The sequence below is a fragment of the Homo sapiens genome, chromosome 5 (genome assembly GCF_000001405.40).
Source record: "Homo sapiens chromosome 5, GRCh38.p14 Primary Assembly".
Lineage (NCBI taxonomy): Eukaryota > Metazoa > Chordata > Mammalia > Primates > Hominidae > Homo > Homo sapiens.
This window is the reverse complement of record NC_000005.10, coordinates 41,109,058-41,135,688: the sequence shown is the minus strand read 5'-3', so window position 1 is coordinate 41,135,688 and position 26,631 is coordinate 41,109,058. Positions and strand designations below refer to the sequence as shown.

General features: G+C 38.0%; 1 long non-coding RNA gene across 2 annotated transcripts in view, besides 4 other annotated features; it reads right to left on the bottom strand.

The window, feature by feature from the left end:
* The window catches only part of LOC105374739 (uncharacterized), a 90,060-nt gene that overhangs the window by 25,728 nt on the left and 37,701 nt on the right, over window positions 1-26,631 (bottom strand). For both annotated transcript variants that reach the window (XR_001742650.2, XR_001742651.2), the window contains 2 exons: window positions 22,955-23,061; window positions 21,866-21,952 (listed from right to left, as the gene is read on the bottom strand). This is a non-coding gene — a long non-coding RNA (uncharacterized LOC105374739). The remainder of the gene's footprint in view (window positions 1-21,865; window positions 21,953-22,954; window positions 23,062-26,631) is intronic.
* Window positions 12,429-12,928: an enhancer, noted in NCBI's record as "H3K27ac hESC enhancer chr5:41122863-41123362 (GRCh37/hg19 assembly coordinates)". NCBI's record gives its function as "activates a minimal SCP1, AML or CMV promoter by ChIP-STARR-seq in primed H9 embryonic stem cells {active_cell/tissue: H9 hESC(primed)}" and the evidence as "EXISTENCE:reporter gene assay evidence [ECO:0000049][PMID:30033119]".
* Window positions 12,429-13,679: a biological region, named in NCBI's record as "MED14-independent group 3 enhancer GRCh37_chr5:41122112-41123311".
* Window positions 12,480-13,679: an enhancer, noted in NCBI's record as "MED14-independent group 3 enhancer chr5:41122112-41123311 (GRCh37/hg19 assembly coordinates)". NCBI's record gives its function as "activates an origin of replication core promoter dependent on BRD2, BRD4, P300/CBP and CDK7 cofactors, and independent of MED14, by STARR-seq in HCT116 cells {active_cell/tissue: HCT116}" and the evidence as "EXISTENCE:reporter gene assay evidence [ECO:0000049][PMID:35650434]".
* Window positions 12,929-13,430: an enhancer, noted in NCBI's record as "H3K27ac hESC enhancer chr5:41122361-41122862 (GRCh37/hg19 assembly coordinates)". NCBI's record gives its function as "activates a minimal SCP1, AML or CMV promoter by ChIP-STARR-seq in primed H9 embryonic stem cells {active_cell/tissue: H9 hESC(primed)}" and the evidence as "EXISTENCE:reporter gene assay evidence [ECO:0000049][PMID:30033119]".

The window sequence follows — 26,631 nt, the reverse complement described above, 5'->3', positions numbered from 1 at the left end:
GACACAGGAAGGGGAACATCACTCTCTGGGGACTGTTGTGGGGTGGGGGGAGGGGGGAGGGATAGCATTAGGAGATATACCTAATGCTAAATGACGAGTTAATGGGTGCAGCACACCAGCATGGCACATGTATACATACGTAACTAACCTGCACATTGTGCACATGTACCCTAAAACTTAAGGATAATAATTAAAAAAAAATACTGAAAGGCCAGACTACAAAACTGTACATTATTACAGCTAAGAAAATTGTGTGTGTATATAAATGGCTTTAAAAACAATGATTGGGAAAACAGTATCTACTCTTGGAATTTGGAGTGACTTTTATTTATATATCTTCTGTATTTCAAGATTTTCTTCAACTGGCATGCAATTTTTTATAGTTGTGTATGAAAAGTCATTTTAAAACTTTTTCTCTTCTACATAGGTGAGAAAGGTAGATAGTTAATTCTGCTTGTATGGACACATTGATGGCTTATATAGTAGAGATTTCCCTGGTCTGAACTTGACCACATGAGGAGGTTTGGCAGCTTTCAGCGAAACTTGTGAACCTCATATACATCATTCATTCATTCACAAACACTCACTGACTACCTGCTAAGTCCCAGGAGTTAGGGCTATAATCATGCAGAGGTTTTGGAGGCACTTAGAGTATGATGAAAAGATTATAAAGGTATACTTAAAACAGTATTACATAAAGTAGAAAGCAACGAGTTACTGTTAAAATAATTGTAGGTACAGATAACGTCTTAAAGGAATAAATTTTAAAAACTAGGCAGTTAATAAAATCAAGCATTAATCTTCAAAGTTTGATAGCAGTTGGAGACACTTAGTAGCTGTTTAAATTTGGACAAGTCTCTCCAAGACTCAGTTTCCTCTCATGAAAGATGGGGATAACACCAGTTAACTCACTCTATTTCTTCTGAGGATTGAGTGGAGTAAAAAAAATTATATATATAAAATATCTGTATATATCACAATTACCACTGGAGAGCCTAGAATGAGAAGTGCATTTACTACTTGGGTGTTGTTTATTGTTATTATTATTATTATTAACAAAAACAATGGAGATTAGTGGCTGCAGTTCACACTTTATTTTGTATTACATGACACATTTCCTCTACTGCCAATCTTGCTATTGAAACCTGATTTATTAAGGACCCTATGGTGGATTGCTCAGGGGAGAGAAATAGCTGGAATATTCAGAATCCATATCAAACGAAGCAGATAAAATGTGGTTGTTCACTGTAATCATTTATCAACAACAGAAGTAAAAGTTTTGAGTTCTTTTTAGAGTATTCATCGTGTATGCCAGATAAATGGACATGGACCGATGTTTGCAAATGAAAACAAAATGGGGAAAAAAATAAAAATCAATGATGTCAAAGCAATGTGGACAGCAGATTCATGAATAGAAAATGAGGAAGAAATTAGATGGAGTAATTGGAAATATACTCCAAGGATTACTTGTTTGCTATCACCCTCTCCCTGTCCCATAGGCAAGGACATCATCTATTTAGAAGAGTCTCGATTTTACTAAAACATGACCCTTAACATGAGGGTAAGGTAACATCACAGTTCAAAACCATGAGACTAGAAGCTGTTGTCCTTCATGAAGGTGTATTTCTAATAATGCCAGCTTCTAGAGAAGTACCCTAACTGAATAATTTTCATTTTGTTTATCACAACTGAAAACTAACTATTGGGCCATGTCTACCCTTCTGTTGAAAAGTAGTGACGTACACTGGTACATCTCTGCAATAGTCAAAAATTCTGCTCACCAATATTGGTGGCTCTCCATCTCCCAGGAACCAGGTTGGATCACACTTCTGGCTCTTGTGGGTAGGAGTGCTATGTAACTGGTACAGATTGATGAAGTGTGAGCAGATATATGTGTGGAGTTTCTTGGTCAAGCATTTAATTGCTGGCCTGAAGATTCCCCCAGTTTCCCTTTCTCTATGGCACATTTGAGATAGTGACTTCATCAGCCTGAGTTCCTGAGTCACTAATAGGAACAGAGCCCATTATACGCCATTGAATTTCTATGGGTATGCGGCTTGAGCCAAAAACAAACCTTTCTTGTTTTATGCCACTGATATTTGGGGATGGTTTTTTTTTATATCATTACTTAGCCTACCTGTCTGATATTAACTATAATGTAACAAATGACATGATGCCATTAAAAGCTAATCTCTTTCACTTCCCCAAATTGCATTACAGAACAATTTCACATTTCTCCAGGCATTACCAAGTTAATAAGTAAGAATTGTCATTGCTTTGAACATGGCCTATAATCACTAATATACTTGGGTGGAAAAATTCATAAACAAATTAAAATTAGAAGAGGAAAATGATAATGTTTAGTTTTAAAATACATTCTGAATTGTACCTATTATTTTCTAGGGAAATTGAATAGGAAACATTAAAGTTGCAAAGACAAAATAAATCCTTCTGTATAGAGTTTACTTGCTAGGACTAAAAAGAAACATAAATGCAAAAAAAAAGTGAACACTTTCCTAAGAAACACTTTATTATATTTGAATAACTTTGTAGTATCTTGGAAATGTTTATTATGTTTAAAAGCATTTCAAAGTTGATTGAACCTGCTTCATATTTCTTGATTACCAAATCATCTTAATTATATTTCAAACCAATTGCTTGTCAAAAATGCATTATAAAGAACTTCAGGGCTGGGCGCGGTGGCTCACGCCTGTAATCCCAGCACTTTGGGAGGCCGAGGCTGGTGGATCACGAGGTCAGGAGATCGAGACCATCCTGGCTAACACGGTGAAACCCCGTCTCTACTAAAAATACAAAAAATTAGCCAGGCGTGGTGGCGGGCGCCCATAGTCCCAGATACTTGGGAGGCTGAGGCAGGAGAATGGCGTGAACCCAGGAGGTGGAGCTTGCAGTGAGCCGAGATCGTGCCACTGCACTCCAGCCTGGGCCAAGAGCAAGACTCTGTCTCAAAAAAGAAAAAACAAGAACTTCAGGCATTTACAAATGATGCCGATATTTATATTCCGATTTCTAATGCTTGAATAAAACATAAAATCTAGTTCATATATTTTGTAGGTTCTATTTATTGCCCCATCTCTCCCAAAACTCATTCAGCTGCCTCCCAATGGGCAATATTTTAGGAGATGTTAGTCCCAGTCTCAACCGCAGCCCCAAAAAGTGAATTCCAATTGGTTTAAGGCAGTCAGTGCGGTCCCATTTCCCTTCCCATGTGCATTAGACACATGCATGGCAAGTCTACCGAATGAGAGATGAGAAGCATCTTCTGGAGGACTTCTGAGAAGGATTTTTCTTACTCTTCAATGGTTCAGAGGAATAAATCATCTCTTTTTATGAATGTTACCATATCTGAATATGATGCTGGCAGCTGCTTCAGCCTTCTTATTACCATGAAATTTCCAGTTGTGGTCTGGCCAACACATGGAGGAGGTTTCAGCAGAAACATAGAAAGAACTGAACCATTGATGAAATCACTGAGCTACTGAATTAACCAACTCCGGAATGTTCATGCTTCTTGTCTTTTTGTTATAAAATAATAAATTTTCTTCTTCATTGTTTAAGCGATTTTTGAGTTGAGTTTTCTGCTACTTGTAGCCAAACATATGGTGATTCAGAAATTAATCATGTTCTTTTCTATTCAACAAATGGTGCTGGGGTAATTGTCAAGCCACATGTAGAAGAATGAAACTGGATCTTTATCTTTCACCTCATACAAAAATCAACTCAAGATGGATCAAGTACTTAAATCTAAAACTTGAAACTATGAAAACTCTAGAAAATAACTAGAAAAACCCTCCTAGACATTGGCTTAAGCAAAGACTTCATGACCAAGAAACCAAAAGCAAATGCAACAAAAACAAAGATAAATAGATGGGACTTAATTAAACTAAAAAGCTTCTGTGCCGCAAAAGGAATGGTCAGCAGAGTAAATAGACAACCCACAGAGCAGGAGAAAATCTTCACAATCTATACATCTGACAAAGGACTAATATCCAGAATCTACAAATAACTCAAACAAATTAGCAAGAAAAAGAACAAAAAATCCCATCAAAAAGTGGGCTAAGGGCATGAATAGACAATTCTCAAAAGAAGATATAAATAGCCAACAAACATATGAAAAAATGCTCAACGTCAGTAATAATCAAGGAAATGCAAATCAAAACCACAATGCGATACCACCTTACTCCTGCAAGAATGGCCATAATTTAAAAATTTTAAAATAATAGATTTTGGCAGGGATATGATGAAAAGGGAATACTTCTACACCGCTGGTGGGAATGTAAATTAGTACAACCGCTATGGAAAACAGTGTGGAGATTCCTTAAAGAACTAAAAGTAGAACTATCATTTGATCCAGCAATCCCACTACCAGGTATCTACTCAGAGGAAAGGAAGTCATTATACAAAAAAGATACTTGCACACACATGTTTATAGCAGCACAATTTGCAATTGCAAAAATATGGAGCCAGCCCAAATACCCATCAATCAAAGAGTGGATAAAGAAATTGTGAGATTATATATATATATATATATATATATTGGAATACTACTCAGCCATAAAAAGAAATGAAATAATGGCATTCACAGCAACCTGGATGGAGTCGGAGACCATTATTCTAAGTGAAGTAACTCAGGAATGAAAAACCAAACATTGTATGTTCTCACTTAGAAGTGGAAACTAAGCTATGAAGACACAAAGGCGTAAGACTGATGCAATGAACTTTGGAGACTCAGGGGGAAAGGGTGGGAGGGGGGTGAGGGATAAAAAGACTACAAATTGGGTACAGTGTATATTACTTAGGTGATGGATGCACCAAAATCTCAGAAATCACCACTAAAGAACTTATTCATGTAACCAAAACCACCTGTTCCTCAAAAACCTATGGAAATAAAAAATATAAATAAATAAATCCATAAATACATAAATAGGGGTAATGATAAAAATTTTAAAAAGAAATTAATCATTTTCTTGAGGTTTGTACTTTCATGATGTTGATAGATGAATAGAATAAGTTTTTCTCTTAAAATGACTATAATTTGTATTAAAAAATTTGAAGGATTCTCTCTGGTGGTTGAAGATACTTATCTAGCATCAAACAAAAGGAAGAAAAATCTTCAGAAATAGAACTTAGTAAGGCAACATTTTAATTTTGTAATGAATTTCTCCATTATTTCTCAGAAAGCCAGTCACCTCTAAAGCTTCCCAAATAACCGTAATCAATTATAGGCCTTTTGAGTACTCAGTACCATGTTTATTTCTCTGAGGAGGAAGACCTAATGCTTAGTAAGCCACTATTTATGTCAGACTCATCATGTAATTATGTTATTTAGCCCTTGAAGCAACTCTAAAAGACGTAGGTGTCACTGGCCTCATTTAGAGATGAAGAACCTGAGGACTTGGTAACCAGAGTTACCTGCCAAATGTCAGGTATCTCATAAGAGGCAGAGACAGAATTCAGACCTGGTCAGCCTGACTGAAGAACTTGGGAGCTGACTGTATTGTATCAAAGTTAAATTAATTGATTTTATAATTATGCTGTTGATTTCAGTGGTTACAAAGATGGCTGTGAATTATTACTCTTCCCATTGAGATGTGGGCTGTAATTCTCCTCCCCCTTGAATCTTGACAGGCTTGTTACTGCTTTGACTAATAGAGTACAGCAAAAGTGACACTGTGTGACTTCTGAAGCTGTCAAAAAAGGCCTTGAAGCTTTCACCTGATTTACAGAAATATTTGCTCTTGATGCCTTGAACCGCCATGATAGAAATTCAATGACCCTGATGTCACCATACCATGAGAAAACAAAAGACACATGAAGAAGCCACATGTAGAGGTTCTGGCAAGAGGTACAACTTAGCCCAGATTTTGACACATCCAAATCCAGACACCATGCATGTGAATGAAGAAGGCTTCAGATATCTCCAGATTCCGTATGTTTAAAACACCTTCTGAGGTTTGAGTCTTCCAAGTTGAGGTTTCAGACAGCATAAAGCAGAGAAAAGCCATCTCAACTGTCCTCACTCCAAATTCCTGATCCATGAACTCCATAAGCAAAAAAAGTAACTGTTATTTTACACAATTAACTTTGGATTAATTTATTGTACAGCAATAAATGACCAAAACAGTCATGTAAGAGAATGTCTCCACTCTTAGAAAATATGCACTGAAGTGTATAGGAATAAAAGGATATAATGTTAACATTTCACTCTCAAGTGACTCAGAGAAGATAGTATAATACACATATATAACGTAATTTTATACATATAAGTATATACATAGCCAATACTCTGGCCATGTGAGGTTACATATATATATATAAAATATATTATATATTATACATAGAGAGAGAGAAAGAAGAAGGAAGAAGGAGAAAGAAAAAGAAATAAAGAGAAAAAAGTATAAGAGGAAGAAGGAGAAGAAGAAAAGGAAGGAGAAGGAGGAGAAGGAGAAGAAATTTGGCAAAATGTAAATAATGGATGAATCTGAGTGAATATATACGGAGTTCTTTGTATTATTCTTGAGACTTTTCTCTAGGTTCAACATTATTTTAAAATAAATTTAAAAAGAGAACCCATGGACTTTTCACTGTAACATGAATGAGACATCATACCTGTGTAAAACCATTGCCAACAACCCAATGCAATATCTAGTTTTCTGCTAAGCTACATGGTACAGACCATATCACTTCATTTATACACATCAATATTCATCTGGGAAGGATATATTGAGAAGTAAAATAGAGTTCTTCTCCATTTCAAAGTGAAGGAAATTAATCACAACAGCATTATGATTTTACCTGGAATACGGGACATATTTTAACATGTACTCGTTTGCAATCTGAAAGTTGGCTTTTCAGCTGTAAGAAAACTATGGTTTCCTCTTCAAAACACCTGTTTGTATAATTATTTAAAAGACAAGAGGCACCCAAGAAGCTGGGTAGAGTCGATGGCTCTTCAGAAAAGTAATCAGTTGGACAAGTTTTATAATCTTGCAAATTCAAAAACCTAGGTGAGAGCAAATTGGAAAAAAAAAAATACAATAAAAAGTTCCTTCAGAACTGGGTTTCATTAAACTATGAACAAGAATTGTTTTGTATTCTTTGCCTGGCTGCACATGAGAGCTGACAGCAGCTGATCATGCTACACTGAACATTGGTAATCACAGCATAATTGGTCACAAGCCTGTCTTAGGGAGCCTGAGCAAACAGAGGTTAACAGCAGAGCTATGAGGCTGAATTCTCTGTTATGGAGTGGCTGTCTTCTTTAGGTGATCAATATGCCATTTTACTCACAAATAGAAACTTCTTTTTCAGATTGTTGTGACTTTTTGCTCTTAGTTCTAAACAATGCCTTTGATCTTTGGAGGACTTTATTACTTGCCTCCTTTCTCAAAGAGTAACTAGGCAGGAATAAAAAAGGAAGGCTAAGTCTGAGCTCAAGGCCCTCTGCCAATGCAAAGTCACCAAAATTAATAACCATAGGACATGCTTTCATGGAACTGTGGGCAACTGAACTGAGAGTAACTAAGGAGTGTGCTTCTGGGCCCTCAGCTACTGGAAACCATGCCCTTAGCACCACAAGGCTGACCACTGACTAACACTAAGAAATTCCTAATTGTGCCTTTGTTTTTGCCTGGTGCATTTCCTATTGCTGCTGTAACAAATTAGCACAAACTCAATTGCTTAAAACAACAGACGTTTATTATCTTATGGTTCTGGCAGGGGCAGGAGTTCAAAGTGGATCTCATTGAGCTAAAAGCAATGTGCTAGCAAGATTACAATCTTTCTGTAAGTTCTATGGGAGAATCTTTTTTGTTGTCACTTCCAGCTTCTTGAGGCCTCCTGCATTCCTTCGTTCATGGCCCCCTTTCCCTATCTTCAAACCCAGGAATTACATCCTTCCAACTCTGCTTCTGTCATCATATCTCTCCCTCTATCTCTCATGCTCTTTCCTCTTCCCACTTTCCCTTATAAGAACCTTTGTGATTACACTAGGCCCACTCAGATAATCTAGGATAATCTTTCCTCGTGTAAGGTAATATATTCTCAAATTTGGGATACTAGGACTTGGATGTTTTGTGGGATCATTATTCTGCCTACCATATCTGCTATACTTCAGATAGCATTAGATTTAGGGTCTCCGTGAAATTAGGAGATTTTTTTTAATTGATTATAAATGATTTTACAAAGCAAAATACCAAGTATCAAATATCAAAATATCAAATATCTGCTAATACTAAGGGTATCCTAACCTCTTTGCTTCTGACCCCAAAGGATGGGTCCAGAGCTACCAGAATTTTCCAAAATACTTGGACTTTGAATATTGCCAGGACTATCTTCCCATCTCATATTTCAGTTTTCTTATGCATTCTTTATTCTCTGACTCCACAGACTAGTTTTATTTCATAGTAGAAAATGTGGCAGCCAGAATTTAACAAAAGAATAAGGGGGAAAACTTTGGCTTTCTGATCTCAAGTTAAAAATCTCAAAGAAGACTCATTAGTTCTACTTCAATGAGTGGTTTACTCCTAGACCAGTCAACTGTGGTCAAAGGGCAAGTTCAGGTAAGAGCAAAGCAGCTCTGGCACTAGTCCTCTGGCAGCGTGTTTGGGAGGCAGGTGATGGGGATGTCCAATTCCCTTGAGATCGGTTACTGTAACACATGTAGCAGTGCAATACAACAACCACACTTCAAACTTTCCATTGACCTGCCAGACAATGAAAGGTCTTGAATTGGGGTAATGATACCACCTTCAGGAAATGAGGACATTTGTTACAACAATAAGAGATCTCCTGGTAGTGGTCCCCAAACCTGGTGGTCATCAAAATCATTTGGAGAGCTTTTAAAAAATATTTATTCTCAAATTCCACCCCACACCTACTAAAACAAAATCTCTAGAACTTGGATAATAGCACACAGTTGCTAAAAACCCAATCAAGAAAACTTTTTCAGATCTAGGCTGAGGCAAGCAATGTATATCAAGAATCACACTGCCTGCCTGCTCCAAATTCTTGAATGCTGGCCCTAGTCCAAACTCTTATTCCTCATCCATTTTCTTACACCCACCTTATGGCTTTGCTACCTTTCCTAAATCTGTGCCAATGCAATCAGATTACATGGTTACCAGTACTTCTTACTGAAAGTGTGTTCCTTTAACCATCATGTTTGAGTCCTCTAGCTTGACCAACTGTGTTGGCCAACTCTAACTCTAGCTTTAAGCTCAGGAATCACAGGAATCCACCTCCACTTGTAAGTGAAGTGTTTCATTTTTGCCTATTATCTCTATACTGTTTTTTACTTTAAAACAGTGAGGAATACAGCCAAATTAAGAGGAGAAAATTATGGAGAATGGGTAAAATGAGAATATTGTGATAAACTGGGGTGTCATATTAAGGGCTATGCAATTTATCCTGTAAGTCAGTATTTTTCAAAAGATAGAGCCAAGATCACCTGTACCAAAATCACCTCAGATAGTGCTACTAAAAGAGAACTCTCTGTGCATTATTTATTATGGTATCCAACAAGATAATAACATAGCACTAGAATGTAAATCATCAAACTACTTCCTTCATCCACAAAATCTTGCTGCAAGAAAAATAGTTGGCTAAATGTAGCAATGTAATTAATGATAAAGTTTATATACATTCTATTATAAGTTCATCATCCCATGAAAACCAGCAAAAATCTGTTCTCACACAGGCACTTTAAGTATACTTAACCTAAGGTACTATTTAAACAACAGCAACAAAAATAGTAATAATAATATACTTAACATTTATTATATGATTGGCATGGTTCCAAGCACTTTACATAAATTAATACATTTGAACCTGGCTAAAATCCTATGAGATGGGTAATATTTTCTTCATTTTTAAAGACAAAAAAACTGAAACAAAAATAACTCCAATAATTTGCTCAAGGGCACACAGGGATATGGATATCCATCACTCTTATTAGAAATCTAATGAACCCAAATCTCTTAGGTTAACACTCAAGAACTCTTATTCTAACTAGATCTCTCAGTCCTCATCTCTATAAAAGGAGTCCTTGGATATGTTAAAGCAGGAAATAAGAGAATTTAGATTTCAGATTAGAAAGTTAACGCTTAGCCTAATATGAAAGGCCAGCTTGAGGCAAGAAAGACTGGAGATAAGGAGATCTGTTTAAAGAGTCCTTGAGGACAAGAGGGTCTCACCAAAGCAGGAGAAATCAAAAGGAAAGGACAAATATCAGAGATGTGCTGAAGACAGAATTCAGCTGAATAATTAAGCACCAGCTGTAGCAGGCACAGCATTAAGTATTCCACATATGTAACCCAGACATAACTAGATTCCATATGGACACTCTAGGTGGGTGCATCTTGCAGCAGAAAACAGCATATTATCATATCCCCCAAAATGTTACTCAGTAAGAAGGATTTTACTGAAGATTTTACAGAGCTTCAGGTGTTATGCCTTAATACATACATTCTAGAGGGACTGAGTGCCAATTATTCCTGCTCCTTTCATAAAAGTAGGTGCTGCTTCCACTTGGCAGCAGTCTCAATCCCTGCTGGCTGGGCTTCCAACAGTTGTGCTCCCGCACTTCCACATTCATGGTGGCAATGCAAAATGAATGCAGAGGGTCAATTTTCAACAGGTTCCGGGGGAGCACCATGTTTGTATACCCCAGATCTCTTTTCCTCACTGAGGAGTAGACAAATATATCATGCCTTTTTCTTGGACACAATCTGGTTCCTGGCTACTGTTTCATCTAAGCTTTGGAATTTGTTTTTCACATCTCAGCATGGATACCACAACTGGGTGATTGTGGGAGACTTTGCAAGTATTCATGATTGGCCTCATACTACTATTTCAGCCCTGTACTTTCATTTATAACAAAAACTGAAGATGCCATTAAAAATCCAATTGATTTCCATCTCAGGTTGTGTCAGGGGGTGACATCATGTAAAGAAACCAGCAAGACTGTCTGGTGAATGATCACAGAGGCTCAGATTCTCTGGTAACACACTGATCAAGACAGGGAAAATTTATCTTCCCACAAGAAACCCTCATTTAACTTCTTCCAAGGGTGACAAGTATTACTCTCAGACATGTTGACATGTACCAGTGGGGCACTTAAGCCCCAGTAGTAAATTACCTGCATACAGGATTGTTCTCATGAAAGTGCAGAGTGGGGATGGGAGAGTTAAAGGAGGGTAGGGAGGGTTCTTCTAGAGCAAACCTACTAACTCCCTTGTCTCACCCCCACATACTTCCTCTGCTGACCTTTTGCTGGTTAAGTTTGCCAGTAAAACTTGTCCATTAATCCAATAATGTGAGACATTATCTATTTGTCTTTAATATTGCCATACCAAGAAAAATATCTTTTTTCATATATTCTGTATTTTATTTGATCTATGTATTAACCATTTTATAGGTAAAGTTCTAAGAAGATAAATAACTTTTCCAAGCACATGAGTGGCCTGATTGAGATGCTAGCATAGGTCTGTTAGGCTTTGGAAAATGAAAAGAACTGAGGATGATTTCAAAATGTCTTGCTTCAGTATCTAGGACAATGATTCTAATGGAAATATAGATTGTAGAAAGAGAATGGTCTTAGGGTAATAAAATGAATTTAGTTTAAGTTATTTTAACTGTCATGTATAATGGGAGATTGTAAGGTTTACAAATCATATCTCCTAAAATTGATCACAATATAAATGAGAAAAAGAGCTATGTTTAAATCTTGTTTTACCTCAAAATAACTGGCACAGAGCTATTTACACGGCAAGCAATCAAAATATATTTAATTGATTAAGGTAAAAGCAGAGAAATAAAGAAAATATTGTATTAGAAATATTTGGTTGGAAGTCATTTACCAGTTCAAAAAAAAAAAAAAAAAACTATGTAAGTAGGGCTGGGTGCAGTGGCATATGCATGTAGTCCCAAGCACCTGCAGAAGCTGAGGTGGGAGGATCACTTGAGCCCAGGAGTTCCAGGCCAGCCTGGACATCATAGCAAGACACTATCTCTAAAAAGACAGACAAATAAAAACTATATAAGTAAATAATTTTCCTAAGAGAATGAAGCCCAATTTTGTTTTTTGAATTATTTATTCACTAATTCATTTCAGCATTTCTTTCTTTGTTTAATCGAGAGGTTACTAAAAGCATTATTAGGGACACATATCATTCTTAATCTCATAGAGCATAAACTGTCACGGAGAAGATAAAAAATAAATTATTAATTATTAATCAGGTATTTCAAACTGTGATGAGTGCTAAGAAGAAAAAAAAAAAAAAAAAGACCAGAATGCTGTGATAGAAAATATTGGGAAGGAATGATGACTGAAAACCTTTAAATAGTGGTCAGAAAACATGTTGCTGAGAAGAAGGCATCCAAGCTGAGAACGAAGAAGTGGAGGAAGCCAAACACCAGAAGTTTTATGGAGAGGGTGCCACATAGCATGAACAGCACATGTGGAGACCCCAAAGTAAAAAAGAGTCTGGGGCTTTTCCAAGAAATAAGGCTAATTTAACTTCTGCTGTCCATAGGTTGAAGGCCAATGTGCCACTAACAACAAAGTCAGAAAAATTTAAAAATCACGTTTTTAAGGCACAAGAGGACTGTAGAAGCCACAAGGACTAAAGGGAATACATTTCAGAGAAGGAACCTTCGAAAGGTGAGCTAAAGTTCTGCCACTGTCTTCCTGGGGCATAGGTTGTCTTGGACATAGGCTAAAGGATACAAATGAAGAACACAGGTAGCGTTCCACTGCTGGGGGACAGACCAGCTGTTAGAGTAGGTAGATAGGCAGATATGAGCCGGTCAGGATAGGGCCCCAAAGAATGTCCCGGGGGCTGAAGGGTGACTACCAAGCAATGGTCAGGTAGCAGACGACAGGGAGGGGAAAATTTCCTAACAAACAAGAGACACCTTGAACTTGTGAGCAACAACTTCCCGATATGAACTTAAAATGGCAGACGTTGACCTTCCTCTGGGACATGTCCAGGCATGCACATGTCTGTAAGGAGCAAACTGGCGGAGTTTGACTCATATATGACCTTCCTCTGGGGGCGCTACACTGGTATGGGAAAATTGCCCTAGGGGAGCAAGCCCATAACTTCAACTACCAAAGGGTGCATGCAGACCCTCCCAGATACTGAGGCAACACTGTGCTTGCCGCCAGTGGCCAACAGCCTGCCTGGGGGAGGGATGACTAGAAGAGTCTGGGGAAAAAAGCCAGTAAATAGTAAATCTGTAAGAGCCCCGAGCTAACAATCAGGCAGGGCACTCAATCTTTTGAGCTGCACTCTTGGTTCCTTACAAGTGTACTTTTTTTTTTTTTTTTTTTTTTTTTGCTTCATTAAACTCTCGTTTCTGCCTTAAATCTACTTCTGTCTCTTGGCCAAATTCTTTCTCCCAAGAAGAGAAGAATTGAGGACTGTGGACCCTGCACGGAGTCCCCAGTGGTAACAGAACCAGTGGGATCTTTGGTTGTGAAGAGTGGGAGGCTAAAACATTAAGCTGAAGCCTCAGAAAAGCAGACAGGGCTTTCCTGTACTTTCCTAGTGCTTAACAGCAAAAAGTCTGGGAGGAAAATCACAAGAGTTGGAGGCCTTCGGCCAGGCACCGTAGCTCACACCTGAAATCTCAGCACTTTGGGAGGCCAAGAGGGGGTGGGTCACCCGAGGTTAGGAATTCAAGACCAACCTAGCCAACATGGTGAAACCCCGTCTCTACTAAAAATACAAAAATTACCTGGGTGTGGTAATGGGCGCCTGTAATCCCAGCTACTTGGGAGGCTCAGGAGTCTGAGGCAGGAGAATTGCTTGAACCCAGGAGGTGGAGGATGCAGTGAGCCGAGATTGAGCCACTGCATTCTAGCCTGGGTGACAGAGGGAGACTTCGTCTCAAAAAAAAAAAAAAAGAGAAAAAGAAAAAAAGAAAAAAGTTAGAGCCCTGAGAGAGTGATGAAATAACTCTGGTGGTTTCCATTCACTTTTTCACAAGGGCATTTGCCAATATGGGAGTGTCAGCAAATCTAGAGGCTGAGAATCCAAGCTGGGTCCCCACCAAAGAGCTATTGCTGGGGACAGAAAAGCCAGCAGAGCTGGCAGTTTTACAGGGCAGGAGTGACAAAAATGAAGACTTCTGGGGCATCATTATAAAGTAAGTCATTTTCTTAAGACATCTGCCAATGCTGAAGGTACATGGGGTAGGCTAAAGAGTGAAGTCAAAACCTCTCCGAAGATCTAAAATTAGACTGGTGATGGCTGCAGCACAACTCTGTAAATACACTAAAAACCATTGTACACTCAAAATAGGTGAATGTAATCGTTTGTAAATTATTTCTCAATAAAGTTGCTTTTAAAAAAAGGTCTCAAAATCAGAGTGGAAATTCTTACCATGTTTCACCACTGAGAAGAAATCCCAAAGACTCTTTGATGAAAAACCCTGGAGGACCAAGCCCTAAGAACAAGGGCGAACTAGAAATATACTGCAACCCAGCCTCAACCCATCACAGTCCAGGTGATAGACTCCACACCCTATCTGCCCAGTGAAAGGAAGAGTTGAAATTCCCTGGTGGGTAATAACATCAACTGGAACTTCTACTTTTTTTAAATGTATAATACTTGATATTTAAAATTACTAGGCATGTAAAGAGACAGGAGCATATAAGAGTTGTGTAACCAATAACTAAAAGAAACAAATTGGACAATAAATGCAGACCATCTTGTCATGTAACTCAAATATTAGTTAAGAAACAGGGAATTGTCAGGGCAACGTGGTTGGTGGGCACATGGTGCCTGTATACCTCCAGAGGTAGCGGGCTGTCACGGTCTGCTGTCTGCCTCTACGAGCTTAGGTGAGTGCCCCTGGGCACCTCCGGGGGACCGAGGCCGAATGTGGTCCCTGGTGGTGGAAAGCGGGGGCCTGCCTAGGGTTCCAGTGCCTGGCCCATAGCCTTAGGTCCTGGATTCTCCCTTGGCCCCACAGCCTCATGGAAGCTGAGGTCCTGGGGTTCTGGCCTCTGTTGCATTATTATTTCTCTAGAACAATTTTCATTTTTAAATTTTATAAAGCACTCTCACCTGTGTGATCTCCTCTGGGTTTCTTTCTTTTTGTAGAGACGGGGGTCTCACTTTGTTGCCCAGGCTGGTCTCAAACTCCTGGCCTCAAGGGATCCTCCCTCCTTGGCCTCTAAAAATGCTGGGATGACAGGTGTGAGCCACCGCAACTGGCTGCCTCCGAGTTTCGAACCTCATTGGCCTTCCAGCCCATTTAAGCTGTTGGGCCTAGACTCGGGAAAGGTTTGTTGAATGGGGAACAAAGAAGTGAATTCCTTCATTTTACAAACATTTCCTAAGCAACCACTCAGTGCTAGGTGCTGTGCCAGCACAGAAAAGACATGGTGCCCAAAGCTTGGAGCCACCACACAAGGCAGTATGGAAGTACAGAGGAGAGAAAGAAAGCTTCCTTAGACCCATTGCTTGCTGTATTCTCCCTTGTACTTGCCCGACATATACTGTATTTACTGGATTGTTTATTGACTTCCCTACCAGGCATTCAACTTTATTCACTGCCGTGTATCCTTAGTGCCTAGAAGAGTGCTTGGAACATGATTCATCGATTCCAGGCAAATCAGAGGAACAAGCATCATGAACAGAATTTATGTAGAATATGCTATTATGCTGAAGCATAATTGTTGTTTCAGAAGTCCAGCATTGCTGTGGGTATAGCTCAAGGGTAGAGCATTTGACTGCAGAAGTGCAGCATCGAGTACACTTAACAATAAAGAATATATTAAATTCTTTCCAAAATCGGCCAGGCATGGTGGCTCATGCCTGCAATCCTAGCACTTTGGGAGACCAAGGCAGGCAGATCGTGACATCAAGAGATCAAGACCATCCTGGCCAACATGGCAAAATCCCGTCTCTACTAAAAATATGAAAATTAGCCGGCCGTGGTGGCACATGCCTGTAGTCCCAGTTACTCTTGAGGCTGAGGCAGGAGAATTGCTTGAACCGGGAGGAAGAGGTTGCAGTGAGCTGAGACCGTGCCACTGCACTCCAGCCTGGCGATGGCACGTGACTCTGTCTCAAAAAAAAAAAAAATTCTTTCCAAAATCAAAAAAAAAAAAAAGAAATAGGACATTAAAATACCTATGATTATTATGTTCCAGACTATTAAAAAAAAAAGAAGAAGGAAATAAGGCTAATGTAGCTAGACCATATAAGCAAGTGAGATACAAGACTAAAGAAATAGGCAAGAGTTGATCATGTAGAGCCTTCTAGGTCATGGTAAAAAATATATATATTTTTTTTAATTCTAAGTCATGGTTTTAAGTAAGAAAGTAAAATAACCCAGTTTACATTTTAAAAAGCAGAATCAAGAAAACCATGTAAGGAGCTGTAACTCTTATCTAGGTGAGAGATGATGGTACTTTGGACTGGGATTGTTGTAGAGGATTCAAAATATATTTTGGAGGTAGAACCAACACGACTTTCTGATGGATTGAATGTAATTGACTGGAAAAAGAAAGCCATCAAAGGTAACTCTCAGGTTGCTGGTTCAGCAAGATGTAGTAGATTGGTAGTAAAATAGAATAGGAAGCAAAAGGAAAGTCCCACTGAAGTTCAGAGGTTTTCCTAAGATTACTAACTAGCTAGTAGCAAAACAAGGACTAGAGGCCGGGCGTGGTGGCACATGCCTATAATCCCAGCACTTCAGAAGGCCAAGGCAGGTGGATCACTTGAGGTTGGAAGTTCGAGACCAGACTGGCCAATATGGTGAAATCCCGTCTCTACTAAAAATACAAAAATTAGCCAGGCTTAGTGGCATGCACCTGTAGTCCCAGCTACTCAGGAGGCTGAGGCAGGAGAATCACTTGTACCCAGGAAGTGGAGGTTACAGTGAGCCGAGTTTATGCCATTGCACTTCAGCCTGGGCTTCGCACCAAGAATATGTCACAAAAAAAAAACAAAAAAAAAAAAACAAGGACTAGAATATAGGTCTCCTGACTCTTAGTCCAGTACTCTCTAGCATACTAAATTAACTTTTCTTTAGGAATTGTGTTCAGTAGTATTACATCTGTACGTATTTTAAAGACAACACACACGAAGAATTTGCGTTTAGAAGTCCAGTTTCCAAGCGTGGTCAACTAACTAATTCTGTGGCTTTCAACATAGGTAGCAAATGAAAATGTTTTCAGAGATAGGAAACCTAAGATGGATAAAGATCAAGTTGTATGATGATAGAGAATGGGGTGGGGGCATCCTTTGATGAACCTGCAGTGTATATACCACCAGGAGGCATCCAAATTCAATTTTTAAAATATTTTCAACCACTTTCTTGGTGAAACTAAAACAGATTATTATATACAGTTTACCTGCTAATTAGATGCAAATATGTTTGGTACCATGTTATTTTGCCTTTGAGCATAAGCAAAAGATAGGCAATTCCTGTCTAAGTACTCTCTTTTTGCTTAACCACTTATTGAAAATGGCAATGTGTTTCTTTTTCCTTTTTTTTTTTTTTTTTCTTTTTGAGACAGAGCCTCACTCTGTCACCCAGGCTGGAGTGCAGTGGCTCAATCTCAGCTTACTGCAACCTTCCCCTCCTGGGTTCAAGCGATTCTCCGGCCTCAGCCTCCCTAGTAGCCGGGATTACAGGCGTGCACAATCATGCCCAGCTAATTTTTGTATTTTTAGTAGAGATGGGGTTTCTCCATGTTGGCCAATCTGGTCTCAAACTCCTGACCTCAGGTGATCCACCTGCCTTTGCCTCCCAAAGTGCTGGGATTATAGGCATGAGCCACTGCACCCGGGCGGCAATGTGTTTCTAATTACATGAATATTTATATTTAAAATAGAAGTCCAAATTTTATTCCATAAACGAAGAACTAAAAGAGGGCCACACCTAGCTGAACTAATGATCAAAATGTATTGCAATGCAGGGATTATGATTAATACAATACTTTACAACTAAAATCCAAATTAATTAATGGGATTATCTTGCCTGATACATTTATTTTTCCCTAAAGATATGATGCTAGGAATCCTCAACCTCATCACAGAGGGAAGAAACAATAGAAAGAGGAAGAAAAGGATGAACACAAAGAAGAAGCTGCCAGCAATTTTATCATATGGGTATTTAACAAGAAACCTTTGGGGAAAAAAATTGACACAGAAGAAACTATTTTACATCTATTCCATGAAATTACTTTTGCTTAAAGAAAATGTTTAATTGTTTATGTTTCAGTTGGGAAGCCATCCAGCTAAAATATTTCTTAACAGTTTGTAATTTCTAAATATATTAATATAGAACCAAATTTAGCAGGGATCCATGTACTTGCCTTTGACTAAATGCCTGGATTATATGCTTAATTCTTAACTTATTCTTAATTTGTAATTCAGAAATTACAAAACTGTCAAGAAATATTTTAGCTGGATGGCTTCCCAACTGAATTTGGTAGCTTGCCCCCTTCTGCTTACAAAAATATATGAGTGTACACCAAAATTGTGCGCATATAAGAAATCAAACACTGACTTTACAATAATTCATATTAAAAAATCTGAGACTTTTAGGTGATGACAAGCTTAGTGTGAACCAATACTGCAATAATTACCACTATTACTTCTACTGTTACTACTGTTTCCACTGATAATAATAGCAATATTTGATTCTAGTCAAAGTAGTATTATAAGATTACCCATTAAATAAACAACTTTATTATCTACCCATAGCAATGACAAAATATGTGCATATATTTTGGAAGTTGTATTTGTGCTTAAGATGATATTAACTAGACATTCATAAATCAGAAATAATTAAGTTGGGTTAGGACCCCAGACCACGTGAGCTTCCAGATCAATCCAGAACAAATATGTAGGTGATCAATTTCTAGGTGGTTGATTAGAAACCATAAACCCCAAACACATTTTAGACATCAGGGTGAGTTTTGTAACATGAATCCAGTGGTGACCGGGGCTCCTTGCCATGGCCAAAGTCTTTATAAAAAGGTCCATCCATGCTAGAGAGAGTATCAACAGTTAAGATTCCAAACTTGGGTCAAGCAAACCTGCTGACTTAGGAAATGACTCTCATAATGCTTCAGGATCACACACCCATGCCACCAAAATAAGGTCTGATTCCAAGCTGAGGATTTCAGCACACTGGGCAAAGGCAGTTGTAACATACAAACATAGAGATATGTGCAGGGAAAAAGGAGGGAAAAACACATACATGTGTACATAAACATACACATAAATTCTACACAAGATGAACCTGGAAATGAAAATTTCCAAGCGCATGAGAACAATGAGCATCATAAAGATCAAAAGACAGGAGAAATTACTCTAGAATAATAGCAAATATTAAAGCATTCTTCTAAGAGGGACTTTAAAATCCTCTAGTTATGAGGAGGAGGAAAAGAAATATAATAAAAATGATAACAATATTGACACAAAATAATGGCAGCTAAAATATATTGAGTACTTTTGTCACTAAAGTTGACTGACTTATTTAATACAACAAATCACTGAGGAAAATATAGGGGGAAACGGCAATTTTTGCCTGAGCACCATTAAATCACTGAAACTCTACTTAGCTTCTCAATTTCTAGACACTGGCATTAGCAAACACCTTAAGAGAAAAAAAAAATGCTGCCAAATGCTGGAGATTCCTTTGTGGACTTCCCTTCACCCCCCTGAGTCTTACTCTCATTTCCAAAAGTAAAATCAATAATTATGGAGCAAAGACAGGAAGATATGAATCAAGAATAAGTAGAGCTAGAGGAAAACTAAAATCATAGAAATGAAAAATACAATCACTGAAACAAGAAAGGTTAGGATAAAAATCCAACTGATGAGAGAATTGGTGAACTGGAGGATAGTAGTTAGGAATGTACCCAAAACAAAATATAGAGGATAAAGAAAAAAAAAAACTTAGAGATACGAAATAAGGAGAATAGATTAAGAAACTCCAACATATACCTCATAATTGTTCCCAAATGAAAGAACAGAGAACATGGTTGAAAATTTTGCTGAATTAAAGAAAAACAGAAGTCATCAGGAGGAAAATTATTGGTGCACAACAGAACAAATTAAAGTAAATCCACACCGCTGAGTTGTATTGTGGTAAGAGTGATGTTTCCATGGAGCTGCACACTGCTCTGAGTGCTTCACATAGGAATCTGCTTCTGGCAACAGGTTTTTCAGATTATCCTTCCAACTGAGAACAACTCAGAAGTATGGAATTTTTTTTTAGTTTATGTAAAAGCATAAGAAAAGTCCCAAGAAAGTGAAGATCTGGGGTGCCACCGTCTAAGCAGAGGAAAGAGGCCCAGAGAGCTAAGCTCTTCCCCTTAAGGGAATTGCCAACTCTGAAAATGGCAGCTGAGGGCCGAGAAGCTGAGCGGAGCTTTACAGCAATTCATGAGGCTACAAAAATTTGAGTTCAATGATCACACACAAAGAAGATCCCTAAGAAATACCACATGGTTTTGATTGAAATTTTATAGAGCTACACCCTAGGAATAATGCTGAACTAGAATTAAACCACATGTAGGTTCATCATGGTCAAGCAGTTAAAAACCAGACAGAAAAAAAACAAAATAAAAAACAAAAACAAAATAAAAAACAAAAACAAAAACTTGAAAGCTGTAAAGCAAAAAAAAAAAAAAAAAAAAAAAAAAAAAAAAAAAAACCCTTCAAAGGAATTAACCTTTTAATTAACAAATTAACCTCACAGCTGATTTCTAGACAGAACTAGTAGAAGCCAAAGACAATAAAATTATATTTTGAAAGAACATAAAGAAAACATCTGCTATATCGATTTCTATAAACAGCAAAAATACCTTCCAAAAACAAAACTGATAAAAATAAATTTTTAAAGAAAAGCGCAAACTGAGAGAATTTTTCATGAACAAAGCTGCACTAAAATAACAAATGTCATTATGTAGATAGAAGGAAAATGATTCAAGTGGCAAGGCTAATTTGTGGGTAAGTGAACACAGACTGAATAAACAATATGTGTGGGGATATATCTTTGTGGGGATTAAAATAAAATATGAAGAAAAATAAAGACAGAATTCAATATGTGAAAATGACACCACATAATTTGAGAAAAGGATAAATGGAGTTAAAGTGTTCTAAGGTCTTCACATTGTCTAAAACATGTCCATGTATTAATTTATATTAGACTTTTATAAATCAGGATTGCAGACTGTAATCTCTGGATCAATAACACCTAAACAATAGTAAAAACATATCTAGTTATAAGTTAACTTAATACTTTAAGTGTAAGAAATAAAATTTAAAACAAGTCAAAGGAGGAAAAAGAGATTAAGCATAGTTAAGATAACTAGAAGGCAAATATCAGGATAAAAAATATATATCAGTAATTACATTCAATATAAAACAAGTATATTTCATCAGTTTGGGTCCTCCATGAAGCAGGTACCAAGATGAAATGAGAGGTACAAAGCATTCAGTGGCAAAAATAAAAGGGCAGAGAAAACAGAAGTATACAGGAGGAGTCTCAGACCACCATGCGGGTCTGATACCCACAAAAAAATAGGAGGAAAGAAGGAGGATGGAGAGGGGAAAATGCCAGGCTGCAATGCAGTTCTAAGGAAGAGTCAGCCAGGCTGATGTGGAGCCCCAGAGCAAAGACTGCAAGACATGGGAAAGATAAAGCTTGGCTCTAGTACCCCTGCCATGCTTACTTATTGATTGAGAACAACCTAAGTGAAGAATGACCTTGGGCTGAATGCAGCAGTAGATCCCAAAGCAGCTGGAGGCTGTCAGCTAACAACACTCCTTACAGTAGCTTCTCTCTTAAAAATATCTGTGCAACATACCTCATAGGTGTCACAGTCCACCCTTTGAGCTATATGGATTCACATCTCCACACATGTTCACACAGCAACTTCTGTGGGCCTTCCTTCCTGAGGAAAACATAGAAAAGGAAAGTTAGTAAGACAAACTGTTTCCCCTGCCACTACAGTTGACCATGGGCTGCAACTGGTGCTCACTGTGTCCCTACTTCACTATCCATCCTCAATTCTCCTTAACCTCTGCTATCATCGCTGTGAGTTTTAATGCTTATCTGATAATACTACCCAAACCCTCATTTCTGAAAGGTCTGAGACTCTGGTAATCAGACTCTCATTAGGACAAGGTTGCTGCATCTGTGTATTCACAATTACAACTGGGGAAGAAAGCAACAAAATGGACCCACTTGAATCCCTTGGATTCCATATTCCTTGGAATATCATACATTTGTGCCTGTTTCCATTGTTAAAACATCCCTACTTACATGATCCTGGGTATATCATTTTGATCTCTAAAGTCTTAATTCTGGATATACTACTTCTATTGTGCAACGGGCCACAGCTGGCTTCTCTGGCCTTATGATTTGGCAGGTCTGGCAAAACCCAGATTATAATAAGAAATTAGGGATGCATGGTCACTTGGTAACCATGATTAAGTATTCTACCAGGACTCAGTGGCACTCCAGGGGCTGTTTCTCAGAAAGTATGTCATTCTGTACTGCATATGGCTTGGTCTTTTTCCAGAACAACAGAAGCCTGCATTGTAATTATTTCACTGGTGCTGGCCATAAATTCCATAATGAATCTTTTTTAAACATAGCATACTTCCAATAGCATAGTGTTGACTGGACCATATGGTGCAAGGGGCAAGAGTGCTGTGTCATAGCTGATAGCCTTTTGTGTATACGGGCCAGGGCACAGTTTCTAGGTGTAGAATATACTGCCTCTAGAACCAAAAGAGGACCATTAGGCATTGTGCAGCAATTTATCTTTTATTTTGGAAGAGATATCCTGACACACTCCTGAGTATGTGCCCTAAAAACTTTACCCATGTGTCAAGGCCATAAGTCTCCATAAATGTATCTTCCATTCTCTGCATTACCAAGCCCTAGTTACCTCTTGCTTCTCTTGCCCAATCAGCATGATATCATCAGTGTAATAATGGGTCAGTGTGGTCTTCTGTGGGATATCCAGATGGTCCAGGTGGTTCCAATCTCCTTGAACTATGTTATGACAGAAAGTAGTAGAGTTAGTATCTAAGGCAAAACTAAATTAATTGTTGTTCACATGGGTGCACATTGTTTCTGTTCTACTAAGAATGGAAAAGAACACATTTACCAAATAAAAGATCACACAGTATGTCCCTGAGACATAATTGCTTTGCTCCACCAATGATACCGTGTCTGGCATGGCAGCTGCAGTTGGGGCTGTCCCTTGGGTGACAGTTGAGTAGTGGATTCTTTAGCAACCATCTAATTTCTACAGGGGCCAGAGTGGCTAACCAGATGGATATGATAGGAAACTCCACCCATGCATCTTTTAGATCTTTAAGTTTGACAGTAGTATTCATACATACACACCAGAATAGTTTTATATTTAATGTCTTGTCTGGCATTTTAGACAGCTTCAAGTCTTACATTTGTCCTTTCCCCACATAGTAGCTCTTAACCCACAAGCCAAAAACGCCATGTGAAGGTTTGTTGGCAACCATGGCAATCCCAATTATTCACCAGTGACAAGGAATAGGCCCGTTATAAGGCAGGCTTTAGCCAGCACTCCATATTTTATCCACCTCCCTGGTGTCTCCACACTAAGAAGGAAGCTGCAGTGATCCTTCAAGTCTCAAGGTGTCAATGTCAGCTCAGACTCTGTGTCCAATAGTCCTCAAAAATATGTGGACATTGTCATTTCCCCTATGTACAGTGTATAGTGACCCAAGTAAATGGCCCCAAGTCCATTTGGGGAAGACCTAGAGATATTTTTATAGTACATACTTGCCATGGCATTGCAGGGTTTTTCTTCTTGATCTTGCCATCCCTAGATTTACTGAATTCCTAATTTGACAACTGGCTAAGCATAGAAAACTCAGCTGAGCAAGGAATCATGACCTTTTATTTGGCAGCCATTTCCCAGCCTTCAGTTCCTTTATTCTTGCCTTCTTCGGATGGTAAATGTAAGTAGTACCCTCTGTGGCTGTCCCTCTCATTGGCTGCCCTTCTGAGCCATACCCAATGTTCTGAATGAATAGAGTGTCCTCTGGGTCTTTCCATGTAAGGTAATCCTCTGGTGAGTCTTCTGGCCTCATAATATACCCACTCCTGCATGCTCATCTCCCTCAGCATTTTTGCTTCCTCTAAAATCTGCCTTAGCAACTCAAGCATTTCAATTTCACTCAGCAGGGCTACTACTTTTTCCAGGCTTCTGAGAACCATCCAAGCAGTTAACTTTACCCATCCCCTAGGGTCTCTGACAGGGTGTTAAATCCCATGTTTGAGAAAGTATTCATAAGTCAGTGAAGTCTTACTTTTGTTTTAAAAAAGATAGCAAATACAAACCAAAGTATTTGCAACTGAAATGTATGATATCTGTGATTTTCTTTCAATGTTCCAACAGAAAGCTAAATAAAATACAATGTTTATGCATGGAGAGTGCTGAATGAACTTAGAATATGAAAATGTTAGTAATCATTGAAACTGGTTGATAGACACATAAGAGTATGTGTCTTCCCTCTTTTGTGTGTATATTTGAAAATATCCATAATGATATTAGATTCCCTCTTTTGTGTGTGTATATTTGAATATATCCAAAATGAAAAGATAAACAACAAAAAGACATTAGAAAGCTTCAAATATTTTATTTTCCTGTGGAGTTTCAATGTTGGATTTTTTTAATGGAAGGTAGAAAGAAAAGTTTAAATGTAGTGAGACTGGGCAATGTAAGAGGAGAGCAAATGAAAGAAGAGAAAGGAAAGAGGAAGAGAAAAAGAGGAGAAGGAAGAGGAAGGGGGAGAAAAAAAGGAATGCCCTGTATATAATAGGGTCTGGTGGAGATTAAAAACTTATATATAACTGAAATACCTCCTCTTCAACATTTTTTGTTTGCCTTCACTTTAATTGAAAGACCTTGTTCCCACATAAGCAAGTTCCACATATTAAACTCAAGTGATAATATATCACTGCATTCATTTCCTTTCTTTGAGATACTTCAATCAAGTTTTCAAATGGTTATGTAAGTAAAGTGAATTACGAGGCTGAGAGAGAAAAAGTAGCAAATAACTTTTGTAGATTTAGAAAAGAAAGCAAGTTTCAGAAACTACAAATGATTTGTCCACATTGCTGAAATTAATAAGAATGAAGTTAATTTCCCAGCACTTTGGGAGGCCGAGGCAGGTGGGATCACTTGAGGTGATGAGTTCGAGACCAGCCTGGCCAACATGGTGAAACACCCATCTCTACTAAAAATGCAAAAGTTAGCTGGTGTGGTGGTGTGTGCCTGTAGTCCCAGCTACTCAGGAAGCTGAGGCAGGAGAGTCACTTGAACCTGGGAGGTGGAGGTTGCAGTGAGCCAAGATCACGCCACTGCATTCCAGCTTAGGCAACAGAGCAAGACTCTGTCTCAAAAAAAAAAAATGAAGCTAACTTAAGACAACTACCAAAATAAAAATCTTTCCCATCTCTGTCCATCACTGTTTCTTTGGTGTTTTATTTTTTTTTTCTCTAATAATTGAAAAACTATACTGGTAATATATGATAAGATTCATATTATGAAAGACTGTTAATTCTTCTCCATTTGCCTATTCTTCTCTCCCTAGATAGTGTCACAGAAGAGAGAAGATAATATGGGTATAGATATAAACATGAGTAAAGATAAAAATAAGATAGACATATAGATTATGTAGTTATAAAGACAGATCTTTTTTACACACATAGGGCCATATTTTACATATTGGTCTGCAACCTTTTTATTCTATTAACAATAGGTCTTTGATATCTTGTCATATCAGTACATATATGTCTACTTCATGACATTTTATATTATAATTATAACATGCTCTACTTAATGACTTTCCAACTGACGAATGTCATGGATTGACTTGTGTTTCCCTAAAAGATATATTAAAATCCTAACCTTCAGTACTGGTGAATGTGATGTCATTTCAATAGAGTCTTTGCAGATGTAATTAAGTTATCATGAGGCATACTGAATTAAGTTGGGCTGAAATGGCTGGTGTCTTTGTAAGAGACAAAGACACATAGATGCAGACACAGGAGAGAATACTAGGGATTGCTGACAAACCACTAGCAGCTTGGAATAGGCAAGAAAGGATTCTGCTCTAAAGGTTTCAAGAGGGAGTATGTATTTGCTAATGCCTTGTTTTTTGACTTCTAGCCTTCAGAACTGTAGGATGATTAATTTTTGTTGTTTTAAGCTGCCATTTTGTGGTATGTTGTTATGGCAGCCTTAGGAAACTAATGCAGTGAATATTTAGATCATTTACAAATGTTTACACTGCAATACCATCTATGTGCACAGGGAATATCTCTCTTTAATACATCATCCAAACTCAATCAGCCAACAATTCCAAAACATTCCAACAAGAGGGAAGATGTCCTAGGACTCAGGGGGATCTCACTTAAAATCAGAGAGGAAAATTCATATAACTGTGATGGTCATTGTTATAATAATAAAAAAAGATACTTATGGTTTGAGGGATGTTCTGTATCGTATTTAAAGGAGGCACAATTATTTCACTGAGAAAAGATAGTTGTGTTCAATTACTGATAAATGTTTTT